At 38.0% G+C, this 16677-nt stretch overlaps 1 protein-coding gene across 4 annotated transcripts in view; it reads left to right on the top strand.

Moving 5' to 3' along the window:
• NFIB (nuclear factor I B) overlaps window positions 1-16677 on the top strand; it is a 450235-nt gene that overhangs the window by 16442 nt on the left and 417116 nt on the right. The window lies entirely within an intron of this gene.

Raw genomic sequence — 16677 nt, 5'->3', positions numbered from 1 at the left:
TGATCACACCAAGAACTTGTCACAAACTCACATTCCTGGGCCCACGATTCAGTTTCAGGAGGTCTGGGGAAGGTGAGGTGAGGCCCCAGGTGACTCTGATGCAAAGGGTTCCTGGCACCACACTAGAGAAACACCTGGCTAGAGGAACACTCATGGATTGAAATCCACCTTGCCTACCGAGTTAGTGGAAAAGTTGATTAATGGCTCTAAACCCCAATTTCCCCACTTTAACATGGAGCTCCTATTTTACAGGTTTGTTGTGAGAACTCGGAGAGCTCAGGTCTGCAGAAGGTTTTAGCACAGCATCCTGTGCATTTTAGGCCCTGGCTAAGACATTACTTCCCTTTTTCTTCCTTCTCCACTTTGCAACCCACTTCCTCCATCTGATTCCCTGCCCACGGGGTCTTCCCTATGCCCCAATGTCCCTACCTTAGCGATAGCTTCCCAATGCCCCTTATGCTTGTACCTGTCCAGTTCTATCCTTCTGGCTAGGTCTCCAATCTCCAAGTTTTTTCTAACAACCGCCATCCCAGCCCCCAATTCTAGCTGCAGTGCAATAAAGTGTATCTGTCCCAGAGCCTAGCCTTTTAGTCTCAATTCTCTGCTAAACTGGCAGATGACTCAAAGCTAATAGCTAAGATTCTGTGCAATGGTTTAAGTATGCCGTTTCTGTTGGGTACTTTAAGGAGATATAATATCTTAGCCCAGTGGTTCTCAACTATGGCTACATACTAGAGTCATCTGGAGGTCATTTTATAAGATGCCCAAGTCTTTCAAATCCACTGTGATTCTGGTTCATTTGGTTGAGAGAAGACCCACGCATTGGTATATTTTTAAAAATTCCCAGCCAGCTTTTGGGCTGCTCACTGAGCAACCCAAACTGAGAATTCGTGTCCTAAAAAAAGTAATCAAGGAGGCTAATAAAAAGAATATTTTAGCTGAAAAAGACCTTTCAGCACACACCAGATTAGATCAATTCAGCCATCTCTCAAGCAATATGGGTGTTAAATATTGACCCACATCTCCTTCAGTTCTCTAACATACCATTATTTAGGTTTTTCATGATAAATGCTTCCTGGAATTAGCTTTAGAGGTAAGATTCCCTTCTTTGTTAAGTCATTAAAAATACTGTGAGAAAGCAACTTCTTCTTCCAATACCAAATCTATGAATACTAGGAATATCTTTTTAGTACCTAGGTAATTCCATAACATCTTGCTCTTGTTTTCAGTAAACTACTTTTTGGAAAAGAGCCAAGCGGGTGTGCATGCCCAGAAAGGTGGTGGATGCGTGTGTGTGTGTGTGTGTGTATGTATGTATGTATGTGTATGTGTGTGTTCCAAAGATAAAATACGCGTTAGGAAATTTCAGTAGAGTATCACAGTAAAAAAATTGCAGGGTTGGAGAACAGATCAACATATATCAGATCCTTGCATTCCTATAATAGAGCTCTGAAAACAAACAGAAATGTGTAATACAATGTCAAACAATGCTCAATAAATGTAATTTCCTTCCTCATTCATTCATTTACCTCAAAGCTACATTGCCACAAATTTTATTTGCTGAATTCTCTAGCTGCCATGTAATAAAGCTAGCAATTGATAAAAATTATTAAGGCCCTAATAACTGAGGTAAGCGACATTCAGACTAAAATTATAGACTGTTAAGAAAATAAAAAGTAGCATCATAGGCATTGTTCAGTATTTAGTATCTGTCACTCACTATTAAAATTAGTTTGCATATATTACCTCATGTAATCCTCATTAAAACTCTGAAGTGGACATTAATATTTTTCTTATAGGTTAAACAAACTGAGGCACAGAGAGGTGAAGTAACTTGCTTAAGGTCACAAAGAGAGTAAGTGATGGAACTGGATTTGCCAGCATGCTGTAATCAATATCAAAACTTATAGGATCATCAAAACCATAACTAAAGAAAAAAAACTATAGCTTTTCATTTTGTTTCTTTTTTTTTCTTTTTCTTTTTCTTTTCTTTTTCTTTTTTTTTTTTGAGATGGAGTCTCGCTCTGTCACCCAGGCTGGAGTGCAATGGCACAATTTCGGCTCACTGCACCCTCCGGCTCCCGAGTTCAAGCAATTCTCTGGCCTCAGCCTCTTGAGTAGCTAGGATTACAGGCATGCGCTACCACACCCGGCTAATTTTTGTATTTTTAGTAGAGACGAGGTTTCACCATGTTGGTTAGGCTGATCTCAAACTCCTGACCTAGTGATCTGCCCGCCTCAGCCTCCCAAAGTGCTGGGATTACAGGCGTGAGCCACCACACCCGGCCTTCATTTCTGTTTCATTTAAAATGAAAATAAGTGAATTAAACCTTTACACAGGAAGATGGGGAAAACAAATCTAGGAGAGTAAGAACAAGTTTTTCTTTTTTATAAAAAGCAGAAATTAATGAGCTAGAAGAAAAACAATAGAGGTGAAAAATAAAGAGTTGCTCTTTGGAAGAAAAAAGAGAAAACAAACGAATACATAAATATATGCTGAATAAGAGGTATTTTTAATAAAAGAATACTTTCTGCATCTCTGTGTGGGTATATTTAAAAATTTAGATGGAATAAACATTTTGTAAGTAATAGATAAGCTACAAAAACTTGGGTCTAGAAATACAAAACCTAAGCAGTTACATTGTCTTGAAAATTCTTTTAAAAGTTAACAGAATTTTCTCTAATCTTTTTTTTTTTTTTTTCAAAAGCTTTGGAACATTTGATTCTATGGAAAAATTCTTTCGAAGTTTCAAATAATTTCCATGTCTGGAAAGAAAAACTATAGAAAGCTATTCAATTCATTTTGTAAAGGTAGCTTAACTCTGATTCAAAAACGTGACAGAGAAAAGAAAGACGGGAGGTAGGAAAAAAGGAATGGAGGAAGAGAGAAAAGGGAGGTGGAAGGGAAGAAACACAAGAGGGAAGAAAGGAGAAAATTTACTTTATAAATAAGAGTACAAGACGCTAAGTGAAATATTGATAAATTGAACTCAGCACTACATTAAAAGCATGATAATAAATTGGCGGACTTATTACGTTTTTTATTTCTGTATGCATATTGGGTTAATGTTAAGACTTCTATTATTTAATCCATTATATCAATAATTCAAAACAGAAAAAAACCCATATAATCATCTAGTTATATGCCAACAAAGATATGCCTAGAAATACGAAGATACTTTATTACTATGATTATAAATATCTGTCTCAAAGAAACAGGCAAAAATCATTACTTAGTAATGAAAGTCTGCAGAACAGACTTTCACAGAGTGTGTTGTCTGAAAGAGCAGTCCCTTTAAAATCTAAAAATACTCCTCAAAATTACATTTCTGTACTAAATAAATTTGGGCATTTCATACTCTGAACCCCTCTAAAAGTTTCACCAGCTACATGTACCTGGGGTTTGAGAAGTGTTTCCTCAGCTTTGTAGACGTTGGAACCCTTTGCCCAAATCATATCTTGGGACCAGCGCTACTCATGGGACATCTTGGGAAACCCAGAGTTAGAAAATACAACGCGAAGGAATTCCATTCACAATAGTAACATACATATAAAATAATTAGTAATAAACCAGACAAGTAATGTAAATTGTACTGAGAATCTCTTTAAAGGCTTGAGGATAGAGAATCTGTTCTTTATACCTAAATAAAACAGTTTAATTGTGCAAAAATATCGGTTTGCCACAATTAACTTACAAATTAACTATATTGAACCCAAGAGGCCTTGTTTTTTTCTGACTGGATGAAATGATTCTGAACTTTATATGGTAAAAGAAATAAGAAGATCCAAGAAAAAATGGAAACATATTCTGACTTATCAAAACATATTATAAATGTATAAACATTAAGACAGTGTGACTTTGGGGTAAGACATCAATCAGACAGATCAAGTAGTGGAATACAAATTTCAGAATTAGAACCAAAATACCTAGAAGCATTCAGAATACATTTGAAAAGCAGTGTGTCATAGTGGCCAAGACCAGTCATAGTGTGTGGGTTCTGATTTCAACTCCACCTCTTACTGGCTGTGTCATCTCAGGCTAGCCTTTTAGCTTCTCTGAGTTTCAGTTTTCTTGTGTAAAAAAGTAGAAGTAACTGAGTACTTAACTCATACAATTAACATACAGTGATGAAATAATGTTTTCAAAATATACAGAAACTATTATATAATAAGCACTCAATAGTTGCCATTATGATTATGAAAAAATAAATTTGATTACATAAAAATTAAAATTATATAAACATAAATTTGATAGGGAAATGAAAAATTTACATAATAATGAAAAGATTATAAAGATTCTTTTATAAAGTAATCAAGTGTAAAATCCTCAAAAATATGGGAAAAATTTAAAGAAGCAATAAACATACACACAAAAAAATATAAACGAACTATGAATACATAAGAAAATATGTACTGATAACCAATTAGTTACTTTTTTCTTCTATAAAATTGGTAAACATTCATGATTCCTAGTACTGGAAAGATAAAGAAGCATTGCTAGTGGGAATATAAATTGGCAAGTATAACACAAACTCTTTGGAAGGCAAATTGGCAATATTTATCAAAAATCTCCAAAATTGGCAAATCTTTTAGCCTCAACCTCCCAATTTATTGACAAAATCATCCCTAATGTGGGACACAAATTTGGTTACAAGGAACTGAAGCAGCATCATCAAAGAGGAAATATCTGAAATATTAATACTTGAAGGTAGGGGGGATCTTATGATGTACTACCAGTAAGCAAAAAGAAAAGGTTATGATTCTTTTCTTTTCAAAAAGGTATTGCAGTTCAGTCACTAAGAACATAAAAAAACACATAGAAATGAAGGCTGAAAAGGTGTACACCAAACATTTTATAGTGGACATTTCTCAATTATGAGATAAAGATTTCTGGTTTCTTAAAATGTGATTTTGAGGTTGTTGTACTTTTTTGAATTCTCCAATTTCACACAAGAAAGCAATAAAAATATGTTTTTCAACTTACTTTTAAAATAAAAAATACTTTTAAATGAGTAGGAAAACAAAAGAGAGATTAGTTGAAACTACCCTATGAAATGAAATCTATATGCATTTTCCACTGCAGTTATAATATGTTATATGCAAAAATGCTACAGATATTACACATGTGGTTTTGATATTAATATACAATATCTTCCCCAAGATTTTGGTTTAAAACAAAACTTTTGTCATACACACACAAACACATGCTTTAGCCAAGAGTGTCAAAGAAAATTGAGTCTATTCTAGTGTGGGGTGGATTTCTGGTCTCTCATTGGGTACCTTCTTAAGCTTTTCTGTTTCCCCTTATTTTTGTCCCAGCCCATGTTCATCTGCCCTAAGATATTGCTTTTTCTCTATCAGAGTTCTTATTGCTAATTGCAGATAATTTAAAGCATTTAACTTAAATCAATCACATCTCAGATTTAAAATGCGTCTTCAAGGCCGGGCACGGTGGCTCACGCCTGTAATCCCAGTTCTTTGGGAGGCCAAGGCAGGCAGATCACTTGAGGTCAGGAGTTCAAGATCTGCCTGGCCAATATGGTGAAATCCTGTCTCTACTAACAATATAAAAATTATCTGGGCGTAGTGGCATGCTCCTGTATCCCAGCTACTCAGGAGGCTGAGGCAGGAGAATCACTTGAACCTGGGAAGCGAAGGTTGCAGTGAGCCAAGATTGCGCCATTGCACTCCAGCCTGGGCGACAGAGCGAGACTCTGTCTCAAAAACTGAACGAAACTAAAATGTAAAAAATAAAATGAGTCTTCATAAACTCCACTGTAAGAAGCTGCTTTCTCAAAAATGCTCCAAGAACTTACCACACCTGCTAGTTTTTAACCAGGAAGGGCCATTTCACCATGGGCTGGGTCCTTCAGCTCTCTGTCTTCTGACCCTATTCTATCTTTCTCCATTTTGTCCTGGTGCTTCAGGGGTGGGATGGTTGTTTCATCATTCCCTGGCCCTTCTGACAGACAGAATAACTTCCAGATTGGACCCAAGGAAATAAATTGGAGAAAAGGAGAGGGCAAGGAGTACTGTTGATACGTTTGCTCCCTACAAAGTACAGGCTATCTGTGAAACTTGCCAGGTTTGTTGGCTTATGATAGTAGTATGATGTTGATAAAAATATGTGTTAGGAAGTATTTAATACCAGAGAAAAAAAGGAAATGGGAGATCTAAGTTTTTCACCATTGAAGTTTTGATGAAATGGAGCTCAATTTAGCAGTAGCAAGGAATGGTATGGTTTTCACTGACAGAACTTAAGGAACTAATTTTGCCATATTATCTTGGGTGGGGAAAGTGTGTGGAGAAAGATTATCATTCATATTCTGCAGAACATGTGTGTCTGGCCAATGACAAAGATGCCTAAACTTCCAATTAATTAGCACACAACTGACATTCTAAATTATCCAGAAAGTGTCTGATTTATTCCTATAGTAGAAACTAGGATATGAGCTCTACAAGGGTAGGGATTTTGGTCTGTTTTGCTGACTAATGTCACCACCAACATCAGTGTCCAACACAAGTAAGTCCTCAAGAAACGCTTGCTGAATGAAACAACTCATTTTAGGAAAGCAACTCATTTCAAACATTTATTATAAACAGAATGTATTCCATTTCCTGGGGTCAGTACGTCTATGTCTTTACACCTTCATTCTCATTGCTCTAAGTACTGATATACTGAGTATCAACCCAGAGGAAGTAATATATTGTTATATTCAGGATGTCAAACAAATAAGTTTCAATTTGTGAACAAGAGTAGAAGAAGATTCAGTTCTCCATTAATCAAATGTTTTAATTCAGCAGAATGTTAACTAGGACTCCTTTGCTAACAGGGGATCCAAACCAGCTTGAACTAGCACAGGCAAAAGGGGGGCTTTTTGGTTTATGGAGTCCAAGGAAATGTGTAAAACCAACGTGTAGGAGTAAGAGGCATGTAGCCGGACCATCCTGGCACCAGAGGCCAAGCACCACATCCCATTCGGGCTTGCTTCCAAGCTTGAGTGTTTGCTTCATTTCCACTCCCTGGTGATAGACTTTCTCCGTGATATGGGACACAAGACACAGTGGTTCCTGGACTTTATGTCATATAATTCTCGCCCTCTAAGAGAAACCATTGATGTCAGTTCTAGACTGTATTTAAATTGCTGAGAAGGATTCTCATTAGATTGGCTTAACTAACTCCTCACCCCTAGATCAAACAACAACTTCTAGAAGGATGAGGTAGTATGAGACATTGAAATTTCCCAAAAGGGATATATGGACAAGGAGTGGGCGGTTTCCGGCAGAAATGAAAGAGGGGCATCTAGGCAGATCATCTCATCAGTGTCCACTACACTCAACTGCTGCTCCTGCTATGGAAGGTGATCACTGCTTTTCTACATAAACATCACACATACACACATACACAAACACATATACATATTTACACATATATGTATATATAATGTTTATGTAGAAAAGCAGTGATGCTTTTCTGTGATGCTTGTATATTTACACATATAATATGAATATATAATATGAATATTAACATGTATATTTATATATTAATATTATATATGCCTAATTGTTTGGATTCATGTGCTTAATATTCATGTCCCTTCTGTGTGACACAGGTTCAGGACATGAATATATATATATATATGTGTGTGTGTGTGTGTGTGTGTTTGTGTGTGTCTGTGTCTGTGTCTGTGTGTGTTTATGCCTCTTTGGATTCATGTGCTGAACCTGTGTCACATAGAAAGAAAAATTTTGTCACCTGTCTATTTCTGATGCCGGCAGCCTGTGTGATGGAGGCTGACACTCAGCCTCAGGAAAATCATGTCTATTAGAGAGTTTTGATGGTTGCTTTATTTCTGTCTGACCTCCAATCAAAGAGTGAGTTTCAGCATTCCAACCTCTTTCTTCTTCTCACTCTCCTCAAAAAACCTAACACTCTGCCAGTTCCTTGCGCTGCTATTTAGGCATGGAGAAGATTAAGATATATCTGCATTATCTTCCCATTACCAAGAATGGTCTTTTGTTGGAGAATACCAGTTTAAACAGTTTGAGTTGGAAAAATATTCCAAACCAAACCGGTATTTAGTGTTTAACCTAAGGACATCCTTAAAACAATTGCCCACTTTCCATTATTTTTCTCATGTTTACTTGAACAAAGAAAAATGTTACATATATCTAAAGGAATTAGTAATGAAAGCTTAACTTTACAAAATAAACCTACTGAAATGGTTGCTTTAAAAGGTTTCAAAATAATCAACTGTCGTGTTGACTGTGAAGAAACAGATATAATATAGAAAATACATCTTTAAAGCTCCACTTATGCAAAAATAAAAACTTTTATATCACGCTCCCTCAAAGAATGTATGACAGATATTTTAAGATCATGATAGTGGAGTAAAGGATTGAAAGCCAGAATTCAGAACTTTGGATGCTAAAAAGTGACTGATTTTGTTTAACCTTAAAATTATGTGGAATTGTGAAGAAATGTAACAGGACACAGTTGGATTAGTTATGCGGTATTTCCTTATCAATTGTTAGCTACTGTGCATTGCTCTAAAAACTTTTTTAAATGATTTTAATAAGTTTTAAAACATTTAAAAATCTTTAAAAACTGTTTAAAACATTTAAATCTTTATGGTGTCGCCTGTAGATATGCTGTTCTTTGGTAGAAAATACCCACAGTCTGTATTTAAAACACGCCTAACAGTTGATTTGTGTTACTTTTTAAGTCCATCTAATAAGTTATGTGTTTTCTAAAAGAAGAAAGAAAACCTAATAAGCCTGTATGTTTTCTCCTATCAACAGCTCCCATGCCAAAACCTACCTTCCTAGAAAACTGCTCTCCCCTTTCAGCCAAGCACCTCCCCACACTCTCTGCTATTTACAGCAAAATATTCACCTAAAATATTCAACCAAACCTTTAAGGGTGGAGTTTTAGGGGTACAGTAAGGATGGAAAATGAGAAAAAGGAAAGGTGAGGCTATTTAGAATAAACCTAACCTACATACTCACATTTTCAATATGTAGGTACTTCCAGCATCTCTCCATATTTATTTTCCTTCACAGCTCCTCCAAAAATAATCCCTCCTAATTATTTGCTTCATGTTATATTGTCCTTATGAAACCTTTATTTTACCATCTCTGGAATTCTTATCCTGTTCGTTTCTTCTCAAGAAAGAGTTAGGAAACAGGACAGTGAAACCTCGTGCAGTAGCCTATCCTTCTTCTAGAGACAAGGGGTTCCTCTCTAAAAGTTCAAGCTTTGGCAAATCTTTCCGTCCTCCCGAGCACCTAGCATGTTTGGTGCATGGCAGGTGCTCTCATGGGTGGCAGGTCCATGCATTTCAGAGGGTGAATCACTAAAAAACCCTCTGTGGGCAATCTCCCCTCCCCCAAGCAGCATAAACCAAAATTAAGATGCAAGACTTATGTCAATTGTAATAAAACATGGGAAGTTGGGTGTATTCATACTTTGTAGGATGTAAAACTTACACACCAAATTTCAAACATTTTATTAATAAATACCACAAACTTCACAAAATCCAGAAAGTTGTATGATTGTTTTTATTTTGTCTAGCATGTTTCTATAATGACTTTTTCTTTCTATTTGGCTGCATATGTTTTATTACCTCTTTGTATTATAACGATTGTGTAATACCATTTCTGTAGAGATAATAGAAAGATCATTCAGGCTTCTAGTAGAGTGGCTCAAAAAATACATCATTTACTTTGTAGAGGAGTTTCAAGTCACAAATGGTTTTCAGTCATGATATACGTGTAATTTCCTCTGCAGTTTCTTGCTCAGGTATTTCTTGGTGAGAGTCAAGCGCCAAGCCCTTGAAGAATTCCCACCCTTTGATACCCAGGTGGGGGCCCCTGGTAGCTGCTGTAGGTGGTCCAGCTCCATGGCATTCCTGCTGCTCTCTGTTCCCCCTCCCCAATCCCACCCTTCTCCCTACCAAGTCCTACAGAAGGGGTTAGGGGGCTTTGAAGTGGGAGCAGAATTGCAAATTCTACAGATTCTTCTTGGTTGTGGGCATGGGGTGGAGTAAGTGGGGTTTGTGTTGGTATTCTTCCTGTACCACCAGCAGCCCCTAGTCCCCAGTTATCAGGGGGTGACCCCTAGACCAGAGCAGTGATTCATGCACAAGTTCAAGGCTCTGACTGCTGCCTCCTCCTGGCATCCTTGGAAAAGGCTCCAGCAAAGTGAGATGCTGTAGCTCAAGCTTCATTAAATGTCCCCCTAGGGAATCCTCCCTAAGTTATTCTATGAAGCTAGTTATCACCCTAATACTAAAACCAGGGAAGGACATAACAAAAAAAGAAAACTACAGATCAATATCCCTGATGAACATACATGCAAAAATCCTCAACAATATACTAGCTGACCAAATCCAACAGCATGTCAAAAAGATCATATACCTAGAAAACCCTAAAGATTCCACCATGATCAAGTGGGTTTCATACCAAGGATGTAAGGATGGTTTTATATCCACGAGTCAATAAACATGATACACCACATAAAGAGAATTAAACGCAAAAATCACGTGATCACCTCAATAGATGCAGAAAAAGTATTTGAGATAATCCAGCGTCCCTTTATGATTAAAACCCTCGAAAAATCGGCATAGAAGGGACATACCTTAAGGTAATAAAAGTCATCTATGACAAACCCACAGCCAAAATTGTATGGAACGGGGAAAAGTTGAAAGCATTTCCCCTGAGAACTGGAACACAACAAGGATGCCCACTTTCACCACTTCTATTCAACATAGTACTGGAAGTCCTAGCCAAAGCAATCAGACAAAGGAAAGAAACCAACGGCATCCAAATCAGTATAGAGGAAGTCAAACTGTTCCTGTTGGCTGATTATATGATCATATACCTAGAAAACCCTAAAGATTCATCCAAAAAGCTCTTAGAACTGGTAAATGAATTCAGCAAAGCTTCAGGATACAAAATTAATGTACACAAATCAGTAGCTCTGCTATACACCAACAGTGAGCAAGCTAAGAATCAAATCAAGAACTTAACCCCTTTAATAATAGCTGCAAAAAAATAAATAAAATACTTAGGAATACAGCTAACCAAGGAGGTAAAAGACCTCTACAAGGAAAACTACAAAACACTGCTGAAAGAAATCATAGATGACACAAACAAATGGAAACACATCCCATGCTCATGAATGGGTAGAATCAATATTGTGAAAATGACCGTACTGCCAAAAGCAATCTACAAATTCAATGCAATTCCCATCAAAGCACCACCATCATTCTTCACAGAACTAGAAAACACAATTCTAAGATTCATATGGAACCAAAAAAAGAGCCAGCATAGCCAAAGCAAGACTAAGCAAAAGGAACAAGTCTGGAGGTATCACATTACCTGACTTCAAACTATACTATAAGGCCATAGTCACCAAAACATCATGGTACTGGTGTAAAAATAGGCACATAGACCAACGGAACAGAATAGAGGAATCAGAAATAAAGCCAAGTACTTCAAATACTTATAGCCAACTGATCTTTGACAAAGCAAACAAAAACATAAAGTGGGGAAAGGACATCATATTCAACAAATGGTGTTGGGATAATTGGCAAACCACATGTAGAAGAATGAAACTGGACATCTCTCAGCTTATAAAAAAATCAACTCAAGATGGATCAAAGACTTAAATCTAAGACCTGAAACCATAAAAATTCTAGAAGAGAACATCAGAAGAACCCTTGTAGACATTGGCTTAGGCGAAGACTTCATGACCAAGAACCCAAAAGCAAATGCAACAAAAACAAAGATAAATAGATGGGACTTAATTAAACTAAATAGCTTCTTCACAGCGAAAGAAATAGTCAGCAGTTAAGAGACAACCCACAGAAGGGGAGAAAATCTTCACAATCTATACATCCAACAAATAACTAATATCCAGAATCTACAAAGAACCCAAACAAATCAGCAAGTAAAAAAACAGTCCCAACAAAAAGTGGGCTAAATGAATAAACGATCCTCAAAAGAAGATATACAAGTGGCCAAGAAGCATATGGAAAAATGCCCAACATCACTAATTATCAGGGAAATGCAAATCAAAACCATAATGCGATACCATCTTACTCCTGCAAGAATGCCCATAATCAAATGTCACATAGACTTCAGAATGCCCATAATCAAAAAATTTAAAAAAAACAAACAACAGATGTTGGTGGATGTGGTGAAAAGGGAACACTTTTACACTGTTGGTGGGAATGTCAACTAGCACAACCGCTGTGGAAAACAGTGTGGAGATTCCTTAAAGGATTAAAAGTAGATCCACCATTTGATCCGGCAATCCCACTCCTGGTTATCTACCCAGAGGAAAACAAGTCATTACATGAAAAAGATACTTGCACACACATGTTTATAGCAGCACAATTTGCAATTGCAAAAATATGGAACCAGCCCAAATGCCCATCAATCAATGAGCAAATAAAGAAAATGATATATATATATATTATTTTATATATATACACACACACACACATACACACACATACACACATATATATATATATATATACCATAAAATACTACTCAGCCATAAAAAGGAATAAATAATGGCATTTGCAGAAACCTGGATGGAATTGGAGACTCTCATTCTAAGTGAAGTAAATCAGAAATGGAAAACTGAAAACATTGTATGTTTGCACTCATAAGTGGGAGCTAAGCTATGAGGACACAAAGGCATAAGAATGATACAATGGATTTTGGGGAAATGGTGGGAGGGGAGTGAGGGCGAAAATACTACACACTGGGTACAGTGTACACTGCTCAGGTGATGGGTGTACCAAAATCTCAGAAATTACCACTAAAGAACTTATTCATGTAACCAAGCACCACCTGTTTCCCGAAAACCTATTGAAATAGAAACAAATTTACAAATTAATTAAAAAATAAAAATAAATAAAACTTCCCCCTAGGAAACAATAGGGATTCCTTACCAGCAAATCTGCCTGTATTTATGAAGATGTGGAGGACCTGATGGAAAAGGAAAGAGAAGTTAACATTTGTTAATCATCCGCTGTGTAAGAAACGCACAGATGACTTACGTACCCATTTATATAAGTAACTGATTTCTTGACAAGTGGAATCCAGTGATGTTTGAGCAAAAAAGGTTTTGCACCACTTTCTTTCCAATGCACTATTAGATTTCCTGTCCCTGGAGATTATTTGGCCAGATTCTTAATCTTCTCAGGTCACTTTCAGGCATCAGTAGATATTCTTATTTTCAGGACTCTCACCTCAATCCCTTATCTGCAATTCTGAAATCTCCACAGTTCTAGAAGTCTAAACTTTTTGAAGTTTGCTACAAAGACATTAGGTGGAAAAACTATACATAAACATATGTGAGGCTATGTGTAGTGATTTACATACCTTTGCCTTGTGTGGAGAATAATACATTTTGCTGCAGAAATATTAAGGGGTTTGATTACAGAGTGCTGCCCTACACCAGCTGATGACAGGATCTGCATCATACGTCCTTTCTAAAACTCACAATTAAGTGCTGGATTCTGAAGTCTATGTGGCCCCAGGGGTTTTGGGTAAGAGATTAGAGACTAATAGCTAATGTTCTAATATCTAATATCAAAACTTCCATTTCTCATCCAATTCAAATCTTCTCTCCCTGGCCAGCAGAGGTCTGTTCATTTGTTCTGTGGAACAGCAATGTGAAGAGTGCAGGTGACCCTGGGCCCTGCCTGTTCTGTAATAATTCTTCCATCTACTTTTCCCTCTCATTCTCCCATACTCACCCAGGAGCCTCCAACTCCTCCAAGGCAGGGGGAGAGAAGGAAGGAGGAAGGTAAATTCTCTGGTGCTATTGTCATCTGGGCGTAGTGCCCTCCGTGCTCTTTCCCTCTGATGCTCTCATTGCACCCCTGCAGGGGGAAATGGGCTTCGAGGCACAGAAGCATTGGGGCAAATCCTGCCTAGATGGTCCAACATCCCTGTGTAGAATGAGGGGGCCCTGGCCACCTATTATTCTTAGCTTCGGAGTCCCAACAGAAACAAAGAAATATCCTATTGATTACCCTGTGACACATCCATTACGTCATTGTTAATGTTCACAATTAACCTGTGAAATAGGAAGGGCCAATTTTACAGATGAAAAAGCTAAGGTAATACAGCAAAGTGAGGATTAAAATTCATATGAATTCATGCATGTAAGAAGGAAATTACATTTTTTTAAGAAGAAAGAAGATTAAAATACTAAGATTAAGGAAGCAAAGAGCACAAGAAATCTGTATACCAAAGAGGCCAGAAAGGTGCATTTGAAGGACTCTGTGTCTATTTTATGAGCAACCAGAAATAAAACAGCTTCTTTGAAGGGCAGGGAAAATATTTGTCTCTAAATAGTATGATCATAGGAGCGGAAAGAGAGGGCAGATTCTAAAGAACCACATTTAGACAAAAGGAAAACAGGACATGAACAGAAACTACAGGACTGTATCTTCTGGAACTTTCTGTTCCCACTCACCACTCATCAAAATCCAGAAAAATCTGTAAGCTTTAAAAGTCAAAAGTGGGTTTGAGATCCACTGCGATGAGTTAGAAGCCTCCATTGTGCTCAGAGTGGGTCTAAATTTGGAAATAAACTCAATCCCACAGATTCATTATACAATTGGCACGACTAGGAGAGGAACTGAAAACTTTCCTTGTCTGAATTTCTCGCTTCTTTTGAGAAGGAGACTTAACGAGAGAGGCTGACATTTCAGAGACATAGCTTAGCTGAGTTTAGAAACCAGGGAGTGGGCGGTTTTCAGAAGGCACCTGTAAACACCATGTAGATTCGCTGTGGGAAATGCGTGAGAGTCCCAAGATGGCATGAAGAGAAACAAAGACGAATATTCTCCTCCCACTAAGAAGAGAAAAAATGTAGGACTCTAGGGCGGCAAGGAATGTTTCATTCACTCATCCATTCATTCAAGAAATACTTATTGAGTTGGATTTTTTGTTTGTTTGTTTGCTTTTACCGGGACTGGGCACTGGGATTCTAAAGTAAATGAAATATTAAATCAGTCAGTTAATATAATTATAAACTGAGACAAGTACTCTAAAGGACAGTGTGACTCTTTATAAGAGGGTGTAAAAGAGGGAACTGATCCACATGATGGAAACTGAGGTTTCCCTGAGCAACTCTCACTAGAAGTCTCATTACTCTGTGAAGAGTAATAACGTTGGCTAACGTTAGTTGACCCAGCCATCTTCTAATTGTTTTACATATATAATTTTGTACAAGCCCCAAGACAACACTGTGGGGGTAAACGTGTTCTTGCCTCTTTCTGGAATAGTCTTCTTTCCTATTCACCCACTTAACGTCTTAGGGAAAGGCAGTGGTCTGGAATGTAGGCTAAGAAGCCAGGCTTCCTGGGTTTGAATCCTCGCTGCCCTACTGACTTGCTGTGTGACCTCAGGCAAGTTACCTAACCTCTCTGTGCCTGTTTCCTCATCTGTGATAACAGGACCATGACAGTACCTACATATGCTGGAGAAATTTAAAGCAGACCAGTGTGACTGGCAGGAGAGTTGTATGAGATGTGGCTAAAGAGGTAGGCAGGTTGCAGACCCTGAATTTAGCAATAATTGAGTGCCCGCTCTCCGACGGGTACTATACTGGAAGCTTTGTATCTGTTATTTCAGCTGAGTTGCTTCTCATCAAGGAAGCACTCATTAACCAAATTATCGAATGAGTAAAATGCAATTGTGCTCTTTTAAGGGTGATTGAATACACTGCCTTCAGCCTAGGAGTCTTCTTCAGAAAGGAACTGTGCCAACTGTATAGCTCTCTGATTAAGTAGTCTCTTTCCTCAGCCATTTCTAATGGCAGAGTCCCCTGGGTTGGAGCAGAAGAAGTGAATGCAGTTAGTTGGAAGGCATGAGATTTGCACTCAAAAGATTGAGGCTCAGGTCCCACTTCTGCCATGTTTCTGGCTGTGTGAGCTTGGGCCCGTCAATTCCCCTTCACAAGCATTATTTTCCATATCCAAAGAATACAATACTCAGCTGCCTTTTCAAGTTGCTATAGAGATCAGGTGAAATAATGCACATGGAAACCATTTTCACAATCCAGGAGGCAGCACACAATGTTAGGGACCAGTCAGTATTCATTGAGAGTTGACTTCTGCCTGTCCCCTGTTCTGGTCAACCTACTGGGCCCAAGCTAAACACCCCATTCAAGTAAGGAGACCTGTTACCATGTGAGACGCCACCTCACACAGGAAGGGAGGGGGCACAGCTGTCCTGACCACCTTCCCAGCTTCCACTGAAGAAGCTCTTTTTCTCCTTGGGCTGGGTCCTCTCTCCTGCTACCTCCACCATCCCGGTCTTCATTCCCAAGCCTTTCAGCCAGACATCAGAATTTCTCCTTGCACAGGTGCAGTTAAATAAGGCTTTACTCCTAGGAGTATTTGTCATGTAGATGGCTCACTAGAAGAAAAAAATATATATTTGCTGGCATAAATGGTGGTTCTGAAATCTTCAGTATTAATACTCCAGATCTCTGCTTCATTCTCTCTCTCTCACACACACACAAACACACACACCCACACACGCACACACACGTACACACGTGCACACACACACGTGCACATGTGCACGTACACACACACACACATACACACAATTGCCAATGACTTCCATACATAGCCTTCA

The sequence above is a fragment of the Homo sapiens genome, chromosome 9 (genome assembly GCF_000001405.40).
Source record: "Homo sapiens chromosome 9, GRCh38.p14 Primary Assembly".
NCBI classification, from domain to species: Eukaryota; Metazoa; Chordata; class Mammalia; order Primates; family Hominidae; genus Homo; species Homo sapiens.
The sequence above is the reverse complement of the archived record's forward strand: the minus strand, read 5'-3'. Positions and strand labels throughout refer to the sequence as shown.